A 20860-nucleotide genomic window follows, 5' to 3' on the forward strand; every position below is an offset into this window, starting at 1 on the left:
GGCCCTAATTTGAAATCATTTGTCCTTTTTTATCCCCAAGATCTAAATACCATGGAAATATTGTATTTTACTGTCCAGATTGTCTCTTATATCTGGAAGTGACACATGTTAGCCTATACACCCCAATTTAGGGCTCAGGAAATATGGTGCCCAAACCCCTCACCTGTCCTTGTAATGAAGAAGCTGAATACTTTCACGGTAATTACTAACCAACAGCAGAGCTCTCTCAAGGGCTCCAGGGCTGAAACTAAGGTTCAGGCAGAGCTTGGTCTATCCCAGCACCGTTGAGAAAGGCATTCCGCTGAATTCAGTTAGGTCAATCCAACAGACACAGAACACAGGAGGGAACCATAAAACCATGAGGCCTGGCCAAACTGCTCAGAATTCTACTGCAGTGAACCTTTGGGGACTTGTCCTCAGCTCCCAGACAAGGTTGAGAGACGAAGGTGTGACTCCTTTAATGTCCTTGTCTTTCTTCATTAGGTTAAACCTGGTGGGGGTGCTGTTTGTAGGGGTGGCACCCCCAGAGGATTATGAGCATGGGGCACCTTCTCCTGAGTTCATGCTTCCCCACAGGCTCAGAGAGCAGCAGGGCTTCCCCACTTACACACTGCTAGGCTCTGATAACAGCTCTTGGGTACCCCGATTACCCAGTCAAGCAGGAGGTGCCCACATTCCCCATCCCTGCTTAGCCCAGGTGCCCAGGGAAGCACTCACATCGGATGGCTCCCTGCGAGGTCCCTCGCCGCTCCGCAGCCAGCTCCTGCTGAGCTCGCTGAGCTCTGGAATGGGCTGCACCTTGAGCCGCACGCTGTCCCCTGACTGCCGGATCATCTCCACAATCTCATCCCTGGACTTGCTCTCCACATTGTGCCCATTAATCTCCACCAGTCGATCTCCTGGCACCAGCCCCAGGGCCAGGTCCTTGGTGCCTGCACCAGGCTCAGCAAAGTGGACCACACGCCGACAGGCCTGGCCCTCGGGGCCCCGATCCAGCATGGTTGTGCGCCGCAGGGAGAAGCCAAAGTCTCCAGTGGGCCGTCGTTGCAGCTCCAGCTCCCGGAGGGTAGGTGGGGGCAGGGGCACCACGGGGGGCAGGCGCAGGTCGACTGGGAACTTTTTAGTCACTAGCTCAGGGGCTCGGGATCGGTGCCCTGGTCGAGGGATGCCTGGGCCAGGATGCTGCACCAGCTGTCCCTCTAGAGTCCTCACCTCCACCTGTGGCGAGGGGGCGGCAGAGTGCTCTGAGGGCGTCGAGGTTTCTGAGGCGCTCTCATCCCGGCTACGCTGGGAGAAGGAAAAGCGCTTGACAATCATCTGTGAGTTCTGCTTGGCCAGTGAGCCGAACTTGGCTGCCCGCTGCAGCACCGAGCCACGGAAGCTACCCTCCTCACCCTTGAGGTCATCGCTGGAGCTGGCTGTACTTAGGTGGCCCGAGTCCAGGATGACGCTGCCCCGGTTACTATCGGAGTCAATGTCAGTCAGGTGCAGGTCAGAGCCGCTGGCCACCTTGATGGGGATGGGGTTGGAGATTTCCAGGCGCGTCTTGGATTCACGCTTGGAGGAGCGGTTCAGGTTGAAGAAGCCACGTCGCAGGCTCATCTCCTCCAGGCTCCGAAGCTCTGCCGCTGACATCCGCTCCTTTTTCTCCTTTTTCTCCTTCTTCTCCTTCCGCCCGCCATCTTTGTCCTTGTCTTTCTTCATTAGGTTAAACATGGTGGGGGTGCTGTTTGTAGGGGTAGCACCCCCAGAGGATTATGAGTGCTTAGCACAGGGCCTTGGTGCCCCACTTTGCTGCTGCAAACAGAAACACACAGAGAGAAAGGTTATTCGAACAGAGCCTCATGTGTCTCCAGTCCAGACATAACCAAATGATACAGCTACTCCTCACTGGGTGCTAGCTATGTGCCAGGCACTCTGCCTTACCCAATATTGTCTCCACTGATTTAATCCTTACAACCCTTCTATAGGTAGTTACTATTATTACCCCATTTTACAAATAAGGAAACTTAAGGTTTAGATAAGGCGGTAAAAGCCCAGATTCCAAAAAGGCGGTAAAAGCCCAGATTCCAAAGCCTGTCATTTCCTTGAATCTTTGATAGACCAAGGCTTAGGTGTATCTGGAGGTAGTATGTGGGAGACCTGACCTCCTGGTGAGAGAATGCTTCAAACCAACCTGGGACCTGACTTAAAGATTCAAACACAGGCCAGGCAGGGTGGCTCATGCCTGTAATCATAGCACTTTGGGAGACTGAAGCAAGAGGATCGATTGAGCCCAGGAGTTTAAGACCAGCCTGGACAACACAGTGAGACCCTATCTCTAAAAAAAATTTTAAAAATTAGCCAGGCATGCTGGTGCATGCCCACATTCCTAGCTACTTGGGAATTTGAGGATTGCTTGAGCCCAGGAGGTCGAGGTTGCAGTGAACTATGATCACACTACTCCAGCTTGGGCAACAGAGTGAGACCCTGTCTCAAAAAAAAAAAAAAGATTCAAACTCAAAGGAAAAAGAAAAGGGACTCAATGCAACATCACCTCCCACAGACAATGTTCGTTTAAGCAACAGACATCCCATTCTTTGGACTCTTTCCTGAGCCTGTTATCCCTAGAGTAGCACCCTTAGCCACCGCCTAACAGAAGAACTCAAAGGAACCAACATTTATTTAATGACTACCACTGGCTAGGCCTAATGCCAGGCACTTTACATGCACTATCTCCTCTGAACCTCACAGCATTCCTACAAGGTAGATATCATTATTTCCACTGTACAAAGGAAGAAAATGGGATACAGAAAATTAAGTATATGTTAGTTGTCACACAGCTAATAAATGGTGATGTTGGGATTCAGTGGCAAATATTGTGTTCTTTCTAGGGCCTGGGTGACCAAAGTAAAGCAGCAAGAGAAAGAAGGGAAGTTCCAGACCAAACAGAGGATAGACAGCTGCGAGGTGGGGGTGGGGTAGGGTCCACTGGATAAACAGGATCCTAAAAAATTCACATCCTTTTCCCCAGACCAACACCTAAATATAGCCCCAGGAAGAAAACTGTGGTAGCCTGAAAGAAAATCCCAGCCCCAGGGTGTGTGAAACCTACCCACCAACCTACCCAACCCCCTGCACATCTAACTGGGGACAGGACCAATAAAAACCTGGTGGGAAGAGTTGAGAGAGTCTTTCTTGTTCTAACCAGCAGGGAACAAGAAGAAGAAATAGGCCATGCCACCTAATTGGAAATTAAATGACATTTTTTCTCTCTCTCTGAAAGCCTACCCCTCTGAGTTTCACACAGAGGATCTACAAGCTTATCCCTTCTAGTAATGGCCTCTTGCCAGGCCCTGGACAGGCCTTTCCTCTCTGTGTGCTCCACCCCTACAACCAAGCAGGGCCCTCCGGGATCCCCAGTCTACTGAGAGGGACCATCCTTCAACCCTGGTACAATGCTCAGGAAGGCATCAAGGTCAGAAATTCCCAAAGGCCGTAGTGCAATGGCTAATTGCTTCCCCCTGCCCAGCATCCTGACTTGTGTTGCTCCTGACATACCAACTCATCTCCTTTCTAGAGCAGTGCTGTCCATAAGAAATATAATTCAAGGCCAGGTACAGTGGCTCATGCCTGTAATCCCCAATACTTTAGGAGGCTGAGGCAGGCAGATCACTTGAGGTCAGAAGTTCAAGACCACTCATGCCTATAATCCCAGCACTTCGGGAGGCCGAGGTGGGCGGATCACCAGAGGTCAGGAGTTCGAGACCAGCCTGGCCAACATAGTAAAACCCCATCTCTACTAAAAATACAAAAACTGGCCAGGTGTGATGGCACACGCCTGTAATCCCAGCTATTCGGGTGGCTGAGGCATGAGAATCACTTGAACCCAGGAGGCAGAGGTGGCGTGATCTCGGCTCACTGCAACCTCTGCCTCCCAGGGTTCACGCCATTCTCCTGCCTCAGCCTCCCAAGTAGCTGGGACTACAGGTGCCCGCCACCACGCCCAGCTAATTTTTTGTATTTTTAGTGGAGATGGGTTTTCACCGTGTTAGCCAGGATGGTCTCGATCTCCTGACCTCATGATCCACCTGTCTCGGCCTCCCAAAGTGCTGGGATTACAGGCGTGAGCCACCGCGCCTAGCCTTGAACTTGTTGGTTCTAAATGCTACATGCACAGTACCTGGGAGTTAGAAAACAGGAAATCTAGGGCCCAAAAGGCACACAGCCAGGGGCCTTGGCCAGGTAGGTCTGGACTGATTTGGGGTGGAGGAGTACCTGACAGCCAGCATTCTCTCTTCGGGGCTCTACTGTGACAAGGGGAGTCTCTCTCCTCCTGACTGTTGATGGGGTGTGGCACAGACCTACCATAAACCAAGATGTGGGGTCTTCAGCTGTTACTGCCCACCTTATACCTTACCCACCACTGCCTGCACCATCTTAAAGGGATGGTTTAGAAGATAACTCCAGGGGCACTTGTGGAAGAAATGAAGAAAGAAATCCACCTTGGGGACTTGGATGGGACAAACAAGAGTATCATGGCCTCAGTTCAACCACAGAGAACCCAACTGACTAGAATGCTGTCCCACCAAGACGCCCAATTCTCGGTCTATAATGCTTACCCAATCCTGGCTCTTTGCTGGGGGCTAGATCGCTGAGTAATATGAGTGGAAAGGATCTCCCAGAATTCTAGGATCTTTGGGCTGGAAAGGTCCCTGAAAAAGTCTGAGCAAAAGCTTGTTCCTCACTGTCATTGCAGCAGGCAGGACAGCAGACGGTCACAGCAGCAGCACAAGGGATGGCGCTGGCCAGAAGTTTCAGGAGATTTGGTATCTAGGCCTGGATCTGCCAAAAAATCGCTGGGGGACCTTGAGCCTGTCACTCTGCTCAAGGTTGAACTACATGATCTAGATCTCTTCTGGCTCTAAAATTCTAAATATCTAAGTCTCCTGTGGACACAGGTTAAGTTATTAACCTTCTGCCAAAGGCACCCCTCTCATCCCAACCCTGGGGCCTTCAGAAAATGAGGCTGTGCCAGCCCTTCCCTCACCACCCCTGTCCTGCCACCATAATCTTCACAGCTCACAAGGCACCTCTTCCCCACTGCCATCCCCATAATCGCCAGGCCTGGCTGTGGACTGGTTCTCTCCTGAGTCTAGAGCTGCCTGGCTGCCTGCAGCCTCCTGTCCAGGATCAGATCTGCAATGCGACTGCTGCTCCATGGCCTTCTTGTAGACCTTGCACTTTCCGGCACCTCCTGGCCTCAGGTCCAAAGTCTCCAACAGCTCTGATACCACTACCTTCCTACCCCCTATCCCGGGCTGCAGTTTCCATCTGCCTCCCATTCCTCTCCTACCCTCTCCCTCCACTCCAGTAAAGGTAACCTTATAATTTTCCTGACCTCCTTTTCTGCGTTTCTCTCCTCATCATACTCTAAGAAGTTTTTCCTAATTTTAAGAAAAGGAAGGCATCTATGTAAGTTAGGGTATGGACCCGAATAATCTTGCTCTTACTATCCCCAAAAACAAAAAGAAAGTACAATCTGTCAACTCAGCTGCTCTATCACTTTAAGAGAGTAAGCATCCCGAAGGCAATGACCATCAACCTCAAATATACATCTATCTGTCCATCAGAGTGCATAAACAATGCTCATATTCATGCAATGGAATACTACTCAGCAAGAAAAAAGAAACAACTAAAGATACACACAATGGGGATGGACTTCAAAATCATGATGTCAAGTGAGAGGGAAAGAAGTCTTTGACAAAGAGCACATATGGGTATGATTCTCTTTATATGAAGTTCTAGTGCAGGCAAAACTAACCTATGGTGGGGGTAGGAGTGGGATCGCATGAGGGAACTTTTTGGGGTGATATTCATGTCCTGTATATTGATAGCGGTTTGGGTTGATAAGTATATGCACTTGTCAAGTTATCAAATGGTGCACATAAGATTTGTGCGTTCAGCCAGGCGCGTTGGCTCACGCCTGTAATACCAGCACTTTGGGAGGCCAAGGCAGGTGGATCATGAGGCCAAGAGATCGAGACCATCCTGAAACCCCGTCTCTAATAAAAATAAAAAAAATTAGCCGGGCGTGGCAGCACACACCTGTAGTCCCAGCTACTAGGGAGGCTGAGGCAGGAGAATCGCTTGAACCTGGGAGGCGGAGGTTGCAGTGAGCCAAGATGATTGCGCCACTGCACTCTAGCCTGGGAGACAGAGCAAGACCCCATCTCAAAAAAAAAAAGATTTGTGCATTCATTGTTTGTAAATATCCACTCAAAAGAAAAGAACTATAAACAAATATTGAACTCTAGTGAATGATATGTATGTTAAAGTATTTGGGGCGAAATATACTGATGTCTACGTTTTACTTTGAGATGTGTAAAATTTTAAGACAGCTTGATGAGGTTGGGCAAGGTGGCTCACATCTATAATCCCAACACTTTGGGAGGCCGAGACGGGCAGATCGCTTGAGCTCAGGAGTCGGAGACAAGCCTGGGCAACATGGCAAAGCCCTGTCTCTACTCAAAATACAAAAAATTATCTGGATGTGGTGGTGCATGCCTGTGGGAGCTACTTGGGAGGCTAAAGTGGGAAGATCACCTGAGCCTGGGAGGTCGAGGCTACATTGAGCCACGATCATGCCATTGCATTCCAGCCTGGGTAACAGAGTAAGACCCTGTCTCAAAAGAAAGAAAGAAAAAAAAAAAAAACCATAGCCTGATGGATGGATCAAGGGATACAGATGTGTAAAAGCAAGGATAGGAAAATGTTAATTGTAGAATCTAGGAAATGGAGGGTATTCGTTGCAAAATTCTTTAACTTTTCTGAATGTTTGCAGGTCATTGTGATAAAATTTTGGGAAAAAATATGTATCTATCAGCCACTTCCTAAAGGCAAGCAACATAAAGATAAGTAAGCCCAGTGTCAGAGCTCAGGCTTTGGATATCAAGTAACAAACCTGTGAACAAATCTGAGTAAACAGGGCCGGGCGCAATGGCTCACGCCTGTAATCCTAGCACTTTGGAAGGCCGAGGAGGGCAGATCACCTGAGATCAGGTGTTCGAAACCAGCCTGGTCAACACGGTGAAACCTTGTCTCTACTAAAAATAGCTGGGCATGGTGGCATGCGCCTGTAATCCCAGCTACTCAGGAGGCTGAGGCAGGAGAATCGCTGAAACCTGGGAGGCAGAGGTTGCAGTGAGCCGAGATCATGCCACTGCACTCCAGCCTGGGCGACAGAACAAGACTCTGTCTAAAAAAAAAAAAATTAAATAAAAATGAAAAAAAATATGAGTAAATAGCTATGAAATCTCAGGCAAATCACTTAAGGCCTCCATGCCTCCATTTCCCCATCTATAAAAATGGAGATAATAATGGTACCTACCACCTAAGGTGGGGGAATTAAATGAAATATATTTAATTACCCTCAGAGAGGTACCTAATAGTAGCAGGGCACAGTTTTTGCAGTCTAAATGACACAGTAGAGAGGATAACAGAGTACACAAGTATGACTAAAATAAGTCAAAACCTTTGTACATGGAAAGTAAAGCCCAAAGAAGTGAAGGTAACTTGATAAGCACAAGGCCAAGCTGGATCACACTGGCTTGAGTCCAGAGGGCCCACGTAGCTAGTGCCAAGGATACTATGGACAGGCAATTTGTAGGGGCAGAAATACAAATGGCCATCAAACATGAACAGGTATTCAGCCTCCATAACATTCACAGACATGTGAAATTGAGGTATACTATTTTCAATTAGCAGTTTAGTAAAAACTATCAAGGTTGATAATATCAATCAATTAGGGCATGGGATGCAGGGAGTCTCATAAGTCTTGGTGGAAACACAAATTGGTAGGTTGGTGCAAAAGTAATTATGGTTTTTGCCGTTACTTTTTTTTTTTTTGAGACGGAGTTTCGCTCTTGTTGCCCAGGCTGGAGTGCAATGGCCCGATTTCAGCTCACTGCAATCCGCCTCCCGGGTTCAAGCAATTCTCCTGCCTCAGCCTCCTGAGTAGCTGGAATTACAGGCATGCGCCACCATGACCGGCTAATTTTGTATTTTTAGTAGAGACGGGGTTTCTCCATGTTGGTCAGGCTGGTCTTGAACTCCTGACCTCAGGTGATCTGCCTGCCTCGGCCTTCCAAAGTGCTGGGATTACAGGCTTGAGCCACTGCGCCCGGCCCTTTTTTTTTTTTTTGAGACGCAGTCTTGCTCTTTCACCAGGCCAGAGTGCAGTGGCACGATCTCTGCTCACTGCAAGCTCCGCCTCCCGGGTTCACGCCATTCTCCTGCCTCAGCCTCCCGAGTAGCTGGTACTACAGGCGCCCGCCACCGCGCCTGGCTAATTTTTTGTATTTTTAGTAGAGACGGGGTTTCACCATGTTACCCAGGATGGTCTCGATCTCCTGACCTCGTGATCCGCCCGCCTCGGCTCCCAAAGTGCTGGGATTACAGGCGTGAGCCACCGCACCCGGCCTGCCGTTACTTTTTAATGGCAAAAACCTCAATTACTTTTGCACCAACTAATGTATTTTCAGAGGTCAAGTCAGTGGTATCTGTGAAAAAAAAAAATTTTTTTAAGAGACAAGGTCTTGCTTTGTCACCCAGGCTGGAGTTTGGTGGCTCAATCATAGATCACTACAGACTTGAACTCCTGGGCTCAAGTGATCCTCCTGTCTTAGCCTCCTGAGTAGCTGTGACTACAGGTGTGCGCCACCATTACTGGCTAACTTTTTAAAAATTGTTTTAGAGACAGGTTCTTGCTATTCTGTCCAGGCTGGTCTCAAACTCCTGGCCCCAAGCAATCCTCCTGCCTCAGCCTCCTGAGTAGCTAGGATTACAGGCACCACCACTGCACCTGGCATATGAAAATATTTATGTACATATTCTTTGGGCAATTCCATTATAAGACATCTATAGGTACATTCACATAATATACATGGCTAATCCTTGCAGCATTGTTTATAATAGCAAGTCTATAAATATAAAAGTCCTTACTAGAGAATAGTAAAACTGGCCAGGTGCAGCGGCTCAGGCCTCTAATTCCAGCACTTTGGGAGGCCAAGGCGGGAGGACTGCTTGAGTCCAGGAGTTTGAGACCAGCCTAGACAACACAGTGAGACTCTGACTCTACAAAAAAATTTTTTAAAAGTAGCTAGGCAGTGGTGCACACCTGTGATACCAGCTACTTGGGAGGCTGAGGTGGGAGGATCACTTGAGCCTAGAAGTCAAGGCTGCATGAGCCAAGATTCGTGCTACTGTGCTCCAGCCTGGGTGGAGGGAGATTATGTCTCAAAAAATAAAAAAAATAAAAAAAAATAAAATGCTGGGCATGGTGGCTCACAACTGTAATCCCAACATTTTGGGAGGCTGAGGCAGGCAGATCACTTGAGGTCAGAAGTTCGAGACTAGCCTGGCCAACATGGTGAAACCCCATCTCCACTAAAAATACAAAACTTTGCCGGCGTAGTGGCGCACCTGTAATCCCAGCTACTCAGGAGGCTGAGGCAGGAGAATCGCTTGAATCCAGGAAGCGGAGGTTGCAGTGAGCCGAGATCACGCCATTGCAGCACTCCAGCCTGCGCGAAAGGGCGAGACTCTGTCTCAAAAAAAAAAGCTAAATTATACAACTGAGCAGTTGTATAATTAAAAGTAAAAAGAATGAAGTAGATTTGTATACACTGACCTGGAAAGATTCTATACTATATTGTTAAGTGAAAAAATAGGTTGCAGGATAGTTTATAATTTTGCTAAAATTTAAAAACCTATATCTATATATGTGCATGAATATATTACATGTACGTTGTGTACAATATTTGCATATGTGTAGGAAAAATATATGCTCTGGGGAGGAGACTGGAATTTTAGAAGGGTCAAATAGACTTGTGTTTCATCCATATTTTAATTTTTTTTCTTTTTTTTTAAATAACAGAGATGGGGTCTCACCATGTTGGTCAGGCTGATCTTGAACTCCTGGCTTCAAGTGGTCCACCCACCTTGGCCTCCAAAGTACTGGATTATAGGCATGGGCCACCGCACTCGGGCTATATTTTAATTTTTTATAAGAACATTCATCTGGTAAATGTGTATTTGCTTACACCTAGGAGCTTCAGGGAGTGGAATTATCTATCATTTTTCTTCTACTTTTATTTCATCTTTTTTTTTTTTTTTTTTGAGACAGGGTCCCACTGTGTCCTCCAGGCTAGAGTGTGGTGCGATCTCGGCTCACTGCAGCCTCAACCTCCTGGGACTCAAGCGATCCTTCCCACCGCAGCCTCCTGAGTAGCTGGGACTACAGGCACTCGCCACCACACCCAGCTAACTTCTGTATTTTTTGTAGAGACAGGGTCTTGCCATGTTGCCCAGCCTGGTCTCAAATTCCTGGGCTCAAGCAATCTGCCTATCTCAGCCTCCCAAAGTCCTGGGATTACAGGTGTGAACCACTGTGTCCGGCCTACTACAGAAATTTTTTAAATATTTATATAAGATGATATTTTATAAAACATATATTAAACTATAAACATATATAGTGCCTAAAATATATATAACAAGCTTTTAAAAAGCAGTCTGGCCAGGCGCAGTGGCTCACACCTGTAATCCCAGCACTTTGGGAGGCCGAGGCAGGTGGATGACGAGGTCAGGAGTTCAAGACCAGCCTGGCCAAGATGGTGAAACCCTGTCTCTACTAAAAATACAAAAAAGTAGCCGGGCGTGGTGGCGGGCGCCTGTAATCCCAGCTGCTCGGGAGGCTGAGGCAGAGAATTGCTTGAACCCCGGAGGCGGAGGTTGCAGTGAGCCAAGATTGCGCCACTGCACTCCAGCCTGGGTGACAGAGCGAGACTCCTTCTCAAAAAAAACAGCAGTCTGGAAAAATTCGATCCAAAAATTTATCAGTGGTCATCTCTGGAGAGTAGGGGAGAAGAAGGGTAACACTTTAGTAACGCTTTAGCTTTCTACCTAATGATTCAACTTTTTTCCAGACTAAAAAAAAATGGACAAACTAGTAGGCAATCCACCAGCAGTAAAGCTGCAAACAGGGTAATGGTCAGTTTAAGGATTGCCTTCATGTCTTGAAAAAGTTTCAGTGGCTTGGGGGACTTGGTTAAAATAGAGTTCACTGGTGTCTTGTGGCTGTAAGTGGGGACACATTTAAATGGGTCACCTAGCAGCTGGCAAAAGAAAAAAAAAACCCAGGAAATGGAAACTATAACGTTAGAGTCCCAAGACAAGGGTGCCCAGAGTTGGCTGTGGTGGATAGATACTTAGGTCAGTCCTCCCACCCCCACCCCCAGACCACACTCATAAATAAATACAAAGGAAATACTTTCCCGAGAGAGCCGGCCTCTCTCCCTTGGCCTCTGACCTCCCTGAGCGGCCGTTTCCTCCAGCCCCGGGACCCCGGCTCTCTCCCCGCGCTCTGCCCCTCGCCAAGGGTTGTAGCAGCGGCCGGAGGGGTAGCCAGCACCTGGCCTGGCCCCGTGCTCCAGGGGGAGCCTCCTCCCGGCCGGCTGTGCTGAGCTCCGCAGCGCCGGGTGACTCCCTGCCAGGTCACACGGAGCTTATCTGGCTCCAGGTGTGCTCCCTCACGCCGACTGCACGCTTCTCACGTGACATTAGCCAGCCCTCACGCCGCCGCGCGGGGAGCCGGGCGGCCCTTGGCGTTTCCCCGCGGCTGGGCCGGCGCAGCCGCAGCCCCGCGGCGCCTCCCGCTGCGATCCCATCTCCCCCGGAAGGCAGCAATCCCGCGGGCCATGGAGGAACGCGAGCGGGAGAGCTCCTGCGGCCTCGCCAGGTTCCCTGCTGCTCTTCCAGGTGCACCGCCTGGCGCTCAGTTCCGCTAACATCCCCTTCCGTGTGACCTTGAGCAAGTCCCCTCCCCTCTCTAAGCCTCCACTATTTCAGCTACAGTTATCTTCAAGGGCCTGACAGCTCAGATTTGGCCCTCAGCCTCTGCTGGAGAGCTATTCTGCTCAACCACACACTGCAGGTTGTAATCCCGCTCTGCCTCTGACTTGCTGTGTGACCTTCAGCCCATCATCCAACCTCTCTGAATATTAGAGAATAATCACAATAATCTCTTGTAAGTGATGATAAACTACTTGGCAGACAGAAAGGGCCCTGGGTCCTGTAAAATCATCAGTCTAACAACCAAAACTGCTGCCTGACTCTAAACTGTTTAAAATGTCAAGGGAAATTGACATTTTACAAGCCCTGCAATTCCTACCTCAAAAGAAGGGCAGGGAAGTGAAGGTGGGAAGTGGAGGCTCACCAGGTCTGCTCACCACCCCTCCCAATCCAGCTCCTACCTCGGCACCTCCCCAACTCCTCTAATTCAGGCCACCTTGGAAAATGCTAGGGGGAAGAAATGGTGATGGGGTGGGGTGTGCAGATCTTAAAGCACCCGGGGGTCTGACCCAAAGCAGAACTTAAACTCCATCAAGCTGCCCTACCAATCCCAAGTCCTGTGGGAACCTGTCAATTACAGCAGACAGTGGGCTGGGCCCTCCTACTGCCCCAAACCTTTAAACTACAACCAGCCAGAGCCCCTCAGTTTTCCCACCACACTCAGGCCTGGGACCCCAGGCCACCAACAAAACCCAGCTCACGTGGATGCTCTGGCTCCTGCCTGTGGCGTCCACCCCAGGTGAGAGGATCTGGCTGAGGAGAGACCTCTGGTTTGAAGGATTAAGAACAGCCCTGCTGCCCTGAAGACCTGTGACACAGCAAGTCCAGATGAAGGCTTCCTGAGTTCCAACAACTCCCAGCTCCACCTCAGCAGGGTGGATTCTCCCTTTCACATGAGCCCCAGTTCTGCCCCACCCAGTCCACCTTTAGGTACCTGCCTCTGGGGGACCCAGAGTTTTCAGGCCCAGTTTCTGAAGACACATGCAGTCCTCAATGAATAGCCACTACCAGGGCCAGTGAGGGGGCCTCCAGGGAACTGGCTGGCTACCCAGACAGCCCAGGAGTGAGGCTGAGAGACCAGGTGGGAGTCAGGAAGGGCATAACCCACATGAGGAAAGTCTGGGGCGCAGGAGGAAGCCCTCAGGCACACACTCTGGCACCTGGGCCAGGCCAGGAGAGAGTAAACAAACTAGACACTCAGAGCTACCAGGCACCAGGTCATCAACTGTTCAAAGTTCAAAGCTCCCAAAGGAAGTGACCGCCAGCCTGTGGCCCCTCCCATGCCCACCCTCCACCCCCACCTACAACCCTTCTCATTCCCCTAATCCCTCAACACAATAGCTGCCCCCAAAGCCATGGTTTTCCTGGAATTGAGGCCACAACCCCCATGTCCTCAACCCAAAATGGACAAGCACACCTCCACCCGAGGCTATATATAACCCGTCATGTCAAATCCAGAAACCAGGAGGATGTTTCCTGGAAAGACTTCATCACAAAAAAACAGAGAGGAAGCTGAGGAGGTGGGAAGCCATGGACAAAGAGCCAGTGAGGCTTGTCAGGAAGCCAGAGACCTCAGGAGAGCAACTTTCAATATCTCCAGATAGAAAGTAGCCCCTGAACTAAAAAGGGTGGGGAACATTAGGCCAGGCCTGTTGCCACAACAACAGGGCACCAACCTGCTCAAGAAAAGGGCTCCAAAGCACAAGGGAAAGGCGGCTGATTCAATGGGCTCTGTACTCACCGTCCTGCTCAGGTGATCTTGCTCTTAATCACCCAGGTGGCCTCCCCTCCCTTCCAGCACACCCCAGTGCATACACACTTCCCAGAGCTCACTTGCCACAGGGGCACTGATGAGGCCTTCTCGGCCACAGACACGCCAGGGGCTCCAAAAGACAAGACGAACCCACACTAACTAGCCCAAGTCATTGGCAGGGTGAAGCAGGGAGGGAATCCAATTCTTTAATTCGGGGTGGCCATCTGAGGGAATGAAAGCCCTAGCCAGGACAGTCCCTCTCAGGAAGCATTCCCCCAGCCCTCCCCACACAAATACAAACTATGAGGCCAGCGCCAAACACATGCCCCATTGGCAAAGTGGTCAGGCAAAATGAATACCCGCTCAAAAACAAACTGGCTGTCTTCCTCCCCATCTCCCCCACCCCCCACCTCTAGCTCATTCTGGCCGCAACCTTTCCAACTAATCAGCAAGACACATGTGCCTTGCAGTAGGGCAACTCCCCCATCTCCACCCCCAAAACAAAGCCCCAATGCCTGGCCTGTCCCTGCGGGCCTTATCGCACCCAGGAACATGACCCACACTCCTGGCCGGGTTTGGGACCAAGGAGCGCACCCCCACTAACAAGGGGCAGGGTGAGGGGGCAGCCACCCCTACCACCTCCCCTTCCCATTGGCGAAACAACTGGCATGACAGGTTAGCAGGGCGGGGCGTCGGGGCGGTCTCTCCAGAGGCCTGGGGCAGCTTGTCCGACCTTCCCACACGCACCCCACCCCTCTGCAGGGAAAGGTGAGGTGAGCATTCAGTCTCAGGGCACAGCCTGCACTCCCTAATCCCCAAAGCCTGCCACCATTCACCCTCTCATCTTCTGTCCCAAGAGGAGGGGGCCCAGGGAAGCGGGGTCTCCATTGTTTTGCCAGCTGTCTAGCAGCTGCTCCTTTGAGAGGAGCCCGCAGTCTGCCCGGCAGTGAAAGAGTGAAGGCCGCTGGGAGGGATAAAAGGGTCGGTAGAGGTGCTCCCCTTCCCCGCTGCCTTCCTCAGCGCCCCGCTCTCTCGCTCGCTCCATCGTGGGGCCTGGACGGGGGCAGGAGAAGTCCCCCCACCCTCGAGGCTGCAGCCCCCACCCCGCAGCTCCGGGCCACCTGGGCGCCTCCAAGCCCCAAATCCCCCCACACTGAAGGCCACCCTGTCCTGCCTCCCTGCGCCCCCCAGGTTGGCTGGAAGGGCCGGTGGTTCCCCCTTCCCCGCCGCTCCCGATCGGCCCCCACCCCCGGGCGTCGAGCTCCACGGCGCCGCCAGGGACGGGAGCCGGGAGTCCGGGCCGCTGCTTCCAGGGGACGGGGGAGGAGGAGGAGGAGCCGGCGGGCCCCGCCGCCCGCCCGCCCTCCCTCCCGGCCGGAGCCCGCCCCGCCGCCCCACCAAGCCGGGCCCGCCACCGAGCGGCCGCCGCCGCCGACCGGCACTCACCGGCCACCGGAGCCCGCCCGGCAGGCAGCAGAAGCGGAGACGCGGCATCCAGCAGCCTCGGCCCGGTCAGGGATGGAGCAGAGCGCAGCGCGGCGCAGCTCAGCGCCGCCCCCAGCGACCGCGCAGGCCGAGCCGAAAGGGAGCTCCCTGCTGGCGGCTGTGGGGATAAACGCCCGGCCTGCCTGGCAGCGCCAGTGCGCGCCGCCAGACGTGGGCCAGGCGGGCCGGGCGCTGCCCTGGCAGCCTCCGTCCGCTGTGGACTCCGAAGCCCCTCTCGCTGTGTCTGAGAGAGGCCCTGCCTGGAGTTTCTGTCTGCACTGGGCACTGGAGGCTGTCCGAAAAGGGTCCGAAAGGGGCTGAGTGGCACTGCCTAGGACAGGCACCAGGGTCATGATGAACGTATAGAAGAGGGGCTGTCCAAGGCAGGCACCGAACTCTGCAGGCTGTGTTCAAGGTAGTGCTGTCTAAAGGAAGCAATTAAGTCTTACTGGCCGCCTCCTCCCAAGGTGGCTCTGCAGAGGCACACACAGGGCCCTGCTGGATGGTGCCCCAGGCTCAGTCCAGACCAGGTACTGCCTGCCATGTCCGAGATGGCACTGCCAGAATGCACTCCCCAAGGTAAAAACAGACTCCCAATAGCTTGGTCTGATACAGCCCTGCCTCAAAATGGAGTGGATCAAGAGGCGTACCAGGGCCCGGGAGCCATGGCTGTAAGTGCCACTCACTCCCTAAAGGAGTTCACCAATGCCAAGATTAACACTTTCAGAAGCTCTTTGGAATGCAGTCTGTCCCTGGGTCCACTGTGTGCTGTAAATATCAAGTGAGCTGCTGTACCCACCAAGAAGACAGTTTATACTTCCTGGGAGAGGCCAAGGGACATCCAGATACCAGGCCTCCAAGATAGGTGCTATGTCTAGAGTTTGGAGAAAGAAAGAAATGGGGACACTTCCCTGGGCAGTGTCCATGCTGGAGTGGGGTGTGCCAGAATGTGGAAGAAACTGAGTGGGGTGGTGCAGGAAGAAGGGTGTAGCAGACAAATGCTGCTACCTCCCTAGACAGCCCAAACAGGAACTTCTCCAGGCAAGGGCAGCCCAACCTGACAGACCAGGGAAGGCTGGAGCAAGGAGGCTCAGAAAGCAGAGAGTTGAGTAAGAGTTAGGGAGTTCCTGAGGAATAGACCCAGGCGGGATACACATTTTGGAATAACATGCAACTCAAATTCAATTTAACAAACTGCCTGCTAAGTGCCAAGTGCAGCCCCAGGCACTTGGGGTGACACAGAAGGAGATCAGACATGGCATATCTCCAGGGAAATCACATGGGGAACAGGTAGACCTGAGCTGTGACAGTAGTAGGGTTCACCATGCTGGCATTACTTGGATGATGAGATAGGTGCTATGATGGGAGGCTTATTTGGCTTGAGGAGTGAGAAGAGCAGCTTCAAAAACATGACATTTGAGGCCAGGCATGGTGGCTTATGCCTGTAATCCCAGCACTTTGGGAGGCTGAGGTGGGCAGATCACTTGAGGCCAGCGTTCAAGACCAGCCTGGCCAACATGGCGAAACCCCATCACTACTACAAATACAAAAAATTAACCAGGCGTGGTAGTGCATGTCTATAATCCCAGCTACTTGGGAGGCTGAGGCAGGAGAATCTCTTGAACCTGGGGAGCAGAGGTTGCAGTGAGCGGAGATTACACCACTGTACTTCAGCCTGGGCGACAGAGCAAGACTCTGTCTCCAAAAAAGAAAAAAAAAAAACCCCAAAAACATGACATTTGAGCGGAACCTTGCAGGCTAAGTAGGACAACGACTATCATTAGTGTTTCCTGAGTACCTATTATATACTAGACACTATCTCTACTCCTCACAATGAACCTATGAGGGAGACATTATTATTATAGATAGGGGTTGAGTGCATGGACTCTGGAGCTGGATTGCCTGGATTCAAAATCTCAGTTCTGTAAAGTACTAGCTGTGTTACTCTGGGTGATTTTTTATAAATCACCTCTCTGTGCTTCACTTTGCTCATCCAAAAAATTGGGATAATAACAGTGACTCCCTCCCTCAAAATTTGTTTTGAAAATTATATAAGCTTAGTCTTTTCAACACATGGGGCTTTTCAACAAACTGGACATCCACATGCAAAAAAAAAAAAAGGGGGGGGTCTAGACACAGACTTTATACCCTTCACAAAAATTAACTCAGAATAGATTATATACCTAAATGTAAAACACAAAACTATAAAACTGTCTCCTAGAGGATAACATAGGAGAAAACCTAGATGACCTTGAGTATCACAATGACTCTTTAGATACAACACCAAAGGCACCATAAAAGAAAGAGCTGATAAGCTGGGCTTCATTAAAATTAAAAATGTCTGCTCTGCAAAAGACTGTCAAGAGAATGAGAAGACAAGCCACAACTGGGATAAAATATATGCAAAAGACATCTGATAAAGGATTGTTATCCAAAATACGCAGAGTTTTAAAAACTCAACAATAAGAAAATGAACCACCCAATTTAGAAATGGGCAAAAAACCTGATCAGACACCTTACCAAAGAAGATATACAGATAGCAGTAAGCAAAAGAAAAGATATTCAACACTGTATATCATTAGAGAATAGCAAATTAAAGCCAGGTGCGGTGGCTCACGCCTGTAATCCCAGCACTTTGGGAGGCTGAGGCAGGTGTGTCATGAGATCAGGAGCTCGAGACCATCCTGGCTAACATGGTGAAACCCCGTCTCTACTAAAAATATGCAAAAGACATCTGATAAAGGACTGTTATCCAAAATATGCAAAGAGTTTTAAAAACTCAACAATAAGAAAACCACCCAATTTAGAAATGGGTAAAAAACCTGATCAGACACCTTACCAAAGAAGATATACAGATAGTAGTAAGCAAAAGAAAAGATACTCAACATTGTATGTCACTAGAGAATAGCAAATTAAAGCCAGGTGCAGTGGCTCACGCCTGTAATCCCAGCACTTTGGGAGGCCGAGGCAGGTGGATCAGGAGGTCAAGAGATCCAGACCATCCTGGCCTACATGGTGAAACCCTGTCTCTACTAAAAGAACAAAAATTAGCCTGGTGTGGTGGCATGCACCTGTAGTCCCAGCTACTCAGGAGGCTGAGGCAGGAGATTCACTTGAACCCAGGAGGCAGAGGGTGCAGTGAGCCGAGATTGCACCACTGCACTCCAGCCTGGGTGACAGAGCAAGACTCCGTCTCAAAAAATAATAATAAATAAAAAATAAAAGAGAATAGCAAATTAAGATGACCATGAGGTAAAACTACTTTATTTACCTAAATTTGGATTTTGGCCAAAATCCGAAATGCCAACAACTCCAAATGCTAGCAAGAATGTAGAGCAACAGGAACTCCCATTCTCTGCTGGTAGCAAAATGGTATAGCCACTTTGAAAGACAGTTTGGTGGTTTCTTAGAAAATGAAACATATTCTTACCATACAATCCAACAATCCCACTCCTTGGTATTTATCCAAATGAATTGAAAACTTATGTCCACACAAAATCCTGCACATGATGTTTGTAGCAACTTTATTCATAATTGCCAAAACTTGGAAGCAACCAAGATGAACTTCAGTAGGTAAATGGACAAATAACCTATGGTATATCTAGACAATGGCATATTATGTGGCACTAAAAAAGAAATGAGCTATCAAGCCATGAAAAGACATGGAGGAAACTTAAATGTATATTAATAAGTGAAAGAAGCTGATCTGAAAAGGCTACATGTTGTATGATTCCAACTATATGGCATTCTGCAAAAGGCAAAACTATGGAGACAATAAAAAGGTTAGTGGTGCCATGGATTAAGGTTGAGGGAGGGATGAAAATGCAAAGCACAGAGGATTTTTAGGGCAGTGAAACTCTTCTGTGTGATACCGCACTGTTGAATACATGTCATTATGTGTTTGTCAAAACCCACAAAATGTACAACACCAAGAGTGAATCCTAATGTAAACCATGGACTTTGGGGGATACTGATGTGTCAATGTAGGTTCATCGATTGTAACAAATGTACAACTCTGGTGAAGAGTGTGATCGTGGGGAAGGCTGTGCATGTGTCGGGGCAGGGGGCATATGGGAAATCTCTGTACTTTATGCTCAATTTGGCTGTGAACTTAAACTGATTTTTAAAATAATATTTATTATTATTATTTTGAGACAGGATCTCAGTCTGCCACCCAGGCTGGAGTGCAGTGCTGTGATCTCAGCTCACTGGAACCTCTGCCTCCCAGGTTCAAGTGATTCTCCTGCCTCAGCCTCCCAAGTAGCTGGGATTGCAGGCATGTGCCGCCACACCAGGCTAATTTTTGTATTTTTAGTAGAGATGGGGTTTCATCATGTTGGCCAGGCTGGTCTCAAACTCCTGGCCTCAGGTAATCCACCCACCTTGGCCTCCCAAAGTGCTGGAATTACAGGCGTGAGCCATTTTGCCCGGCCTTGTATTTATTAATTTTTAAAAATTACATGATTTAATATATAAAAAGAACAATGCCCAGTACATGGTAAGCATTCTATAGCTGTTAGCTTGGTTATCTTTCCTAACTCATAGTTGTGGAAATGAAGCACAGACAGCTTTGTGACTTGTACCCAGCCTAAGAGTAGCAGAGTCAGGATTCAAACTGAGGTCCCTAAGGCTCCAAAGCCCATTCTTTTCCCTACACCATGGCAGTGAAATGAATAGGTATATTAACAACTCTTTTTTTTTTTTTTTTTTAGGAAGAGTTTCACTCTTGTTGCCCAAGCTGGAGTGCAATGGTGCCATCTTAGCTCACTGCAACCTCCGCCTCCCAGGTTCAAGCGATTCTCCTGCCTCAGCCTCCCAAGTAGCTGGGATTACAGGCGCCCGCCACCACACCTGGCTAACTTTTTGTATTTTTAGTAGAAACAGGGTTTCACCATGTTAGCCAGGCTGGTCTCAAACTCCTGACCTTAGGTAATCCGCCTGCCTTGGCCTCCCAAAGTGCTGGGATTACAGGCGTGAGCCACCACATGCCAGTCAACAACTCTTTTATTTACATGTGTCTACACCTAGGGCACTCTCTGGGTAGCATATGGTGTCCCTGAGAGCTCTTCTTGCCTGAACCAGGAACCAGTTTCAGACACTAAGCAAGACTGAAACTCCAGGGCAGCACTCACACTGACACAGTAACTCTGGTTCTTCGTCACTTGATTTTAGTCTTTTCCTTCCCAAATGCCAGAATAAACCCTGCCCTAGCTCTAAGTAAAAGTAAAAGTAAAGCACCCCTCTCCTCTTCGCACAGAAAAAAGCCAGAGCAGTATCCACATAAAATCACCCAGATGGTCATGGGAAGGCCAATTTTTCCAGAAGATTCCTAAAGTCCTAAAATGATCCGACTTTAATCAAGAAGCCCTCCACCCCAGAAAGAAGCTGGGTAATAAAAATCACTTATATCAAGGGAGCCTAACTATGGGTCAGGCACTATGCTAACCCCTTAATCCAATGTCTCACTTAATCCCCAGAATTACCATATTAGGGAGATGCTAGTCTTATCCCCATTTCACAGATTAGAAACCAGGCTTGGGAAAGTGAATTAATTTGCCCAAGGCACTGTGACTAATAAACAGCAGAGCCTGGAATGCTTGCCCTGAAGCTCTGGGCTGCATCCTGGGTGGAGTGGTGAGTGCCTGGGCTTTGGGGCCTCACAGAGAGGATGCTTGGCTCTAGCAGCTGCCAGCAAGCTCCTTAGCCTCTCTAAACCTCAATTTCCTCATCTAC

At 49.7% G+C, this 20860-nt stretch overlaps 1 protein-coding gene across 5 annotated transcripts in view, besides 5 other annotated features; it reads right to left on the minus strand.

Annotated features, from left to right (window-relative positions):
- The window catches only part of MYO18A (myosin XVIIIA), a 109277-nt gene extending 94103 nt beyond the window's left edge, over positions 1 to 15174 (minus strand). For 4 of the 5 annotated variants that reach the window (NM_203318.2, NM_078471.4, NM_001346766.2 and 1 more), the window contains exons 1-2: positions 15089 to 15174; positions 718 to 1797 (exon numbers count right to left, since the gene is read on the minus strand). In NM_203318.2, coding sequence (NP_976063.1) covers positions 718 to 1716 — 999 coding nt within the window. In that variant the 5' untranslated portion in view covers positions 1717 to 1797; positions 15089 to 15174. Of the gene's footprint in view, positions 1 to 717; positions 1798 to 11347; positions 11550 to 15088 lie in introns of those variants that run through there. The other variant, NM_001346767.2, reaches the window with a different exon arrangement.
- Positions 11647 to 11846: a silencer, noted in NCBI's record as "silent region_8366". NCBI's record gives its function as "represses an Ori minimal core promoter by ATAC-STARR-seq in GM12878 lymphoblastoid cells {active_cell/tissue: GM12878}" and the evidence as "EXISTENCE:reporter gene assay evidence [ECO:0000049][PMID:35858748]".
- Positions 14848 to 14897: a silencer, noted in NCBI's record as "silent region_8367". NCBI's record gives its function as "represses an Ori minimal core promoter by ATAC-STARR-seq in GM12878 lymphoblastoid cells {active_cell/tissue: GM12878}" and the evidence as "EXISTENCE:reporter gene assay evidence [ECO:0000049][PMID:35858748]".
- Positions 15018 to 15067: a silencer, noted in NCBI's record as "silent region_8368". NCBI's record gives its function as "represses an Ori minimal core promoter by ATAC-STARR-seq in GM12878 lymphoblastoid cells {active_cell/tissue: GM12878}" and the evidence as "EXISTENCE:reporter gene assay evidence [ECO:0000049][PMID:35858748]".
- Positions 15018 to 15253: a biological region, named in NCBI's record as "ReSE screen-validated silencer GRCh37_chr17:27507275-27507495".
- Positions 15033 to 15253: a silencer, noted in NCBI's record as "fragment chr17:27507275-27507495 (GRCh37/hg19 assembly coordinates)". NCBI's record gives its function as "represses an EF-1alpha promoter that drives an FKBP-Casp9 reporter gene in an ReSE screen in K562 erythroleukemia cells {active_cell/tissue: K562}" and the evidence as "EXISTENCE:reporter gene assay evidence [ECO:0000049][PMID:32094911]".

The sequence above is a fragment of the Homo sapiens genome, chromosome 17 (genome assembly GCF_000001405.40).
Source record: "Homo sapiens chromosome 17, GRCh38.p14 Primary Assembly".
Classification (NCBI taxonomy): domain Eukaryota; kingdom Metazoa; phylum Chordata; class Mammalia; order Primates; family Hominidae; genus Homo; species Homo sapiens.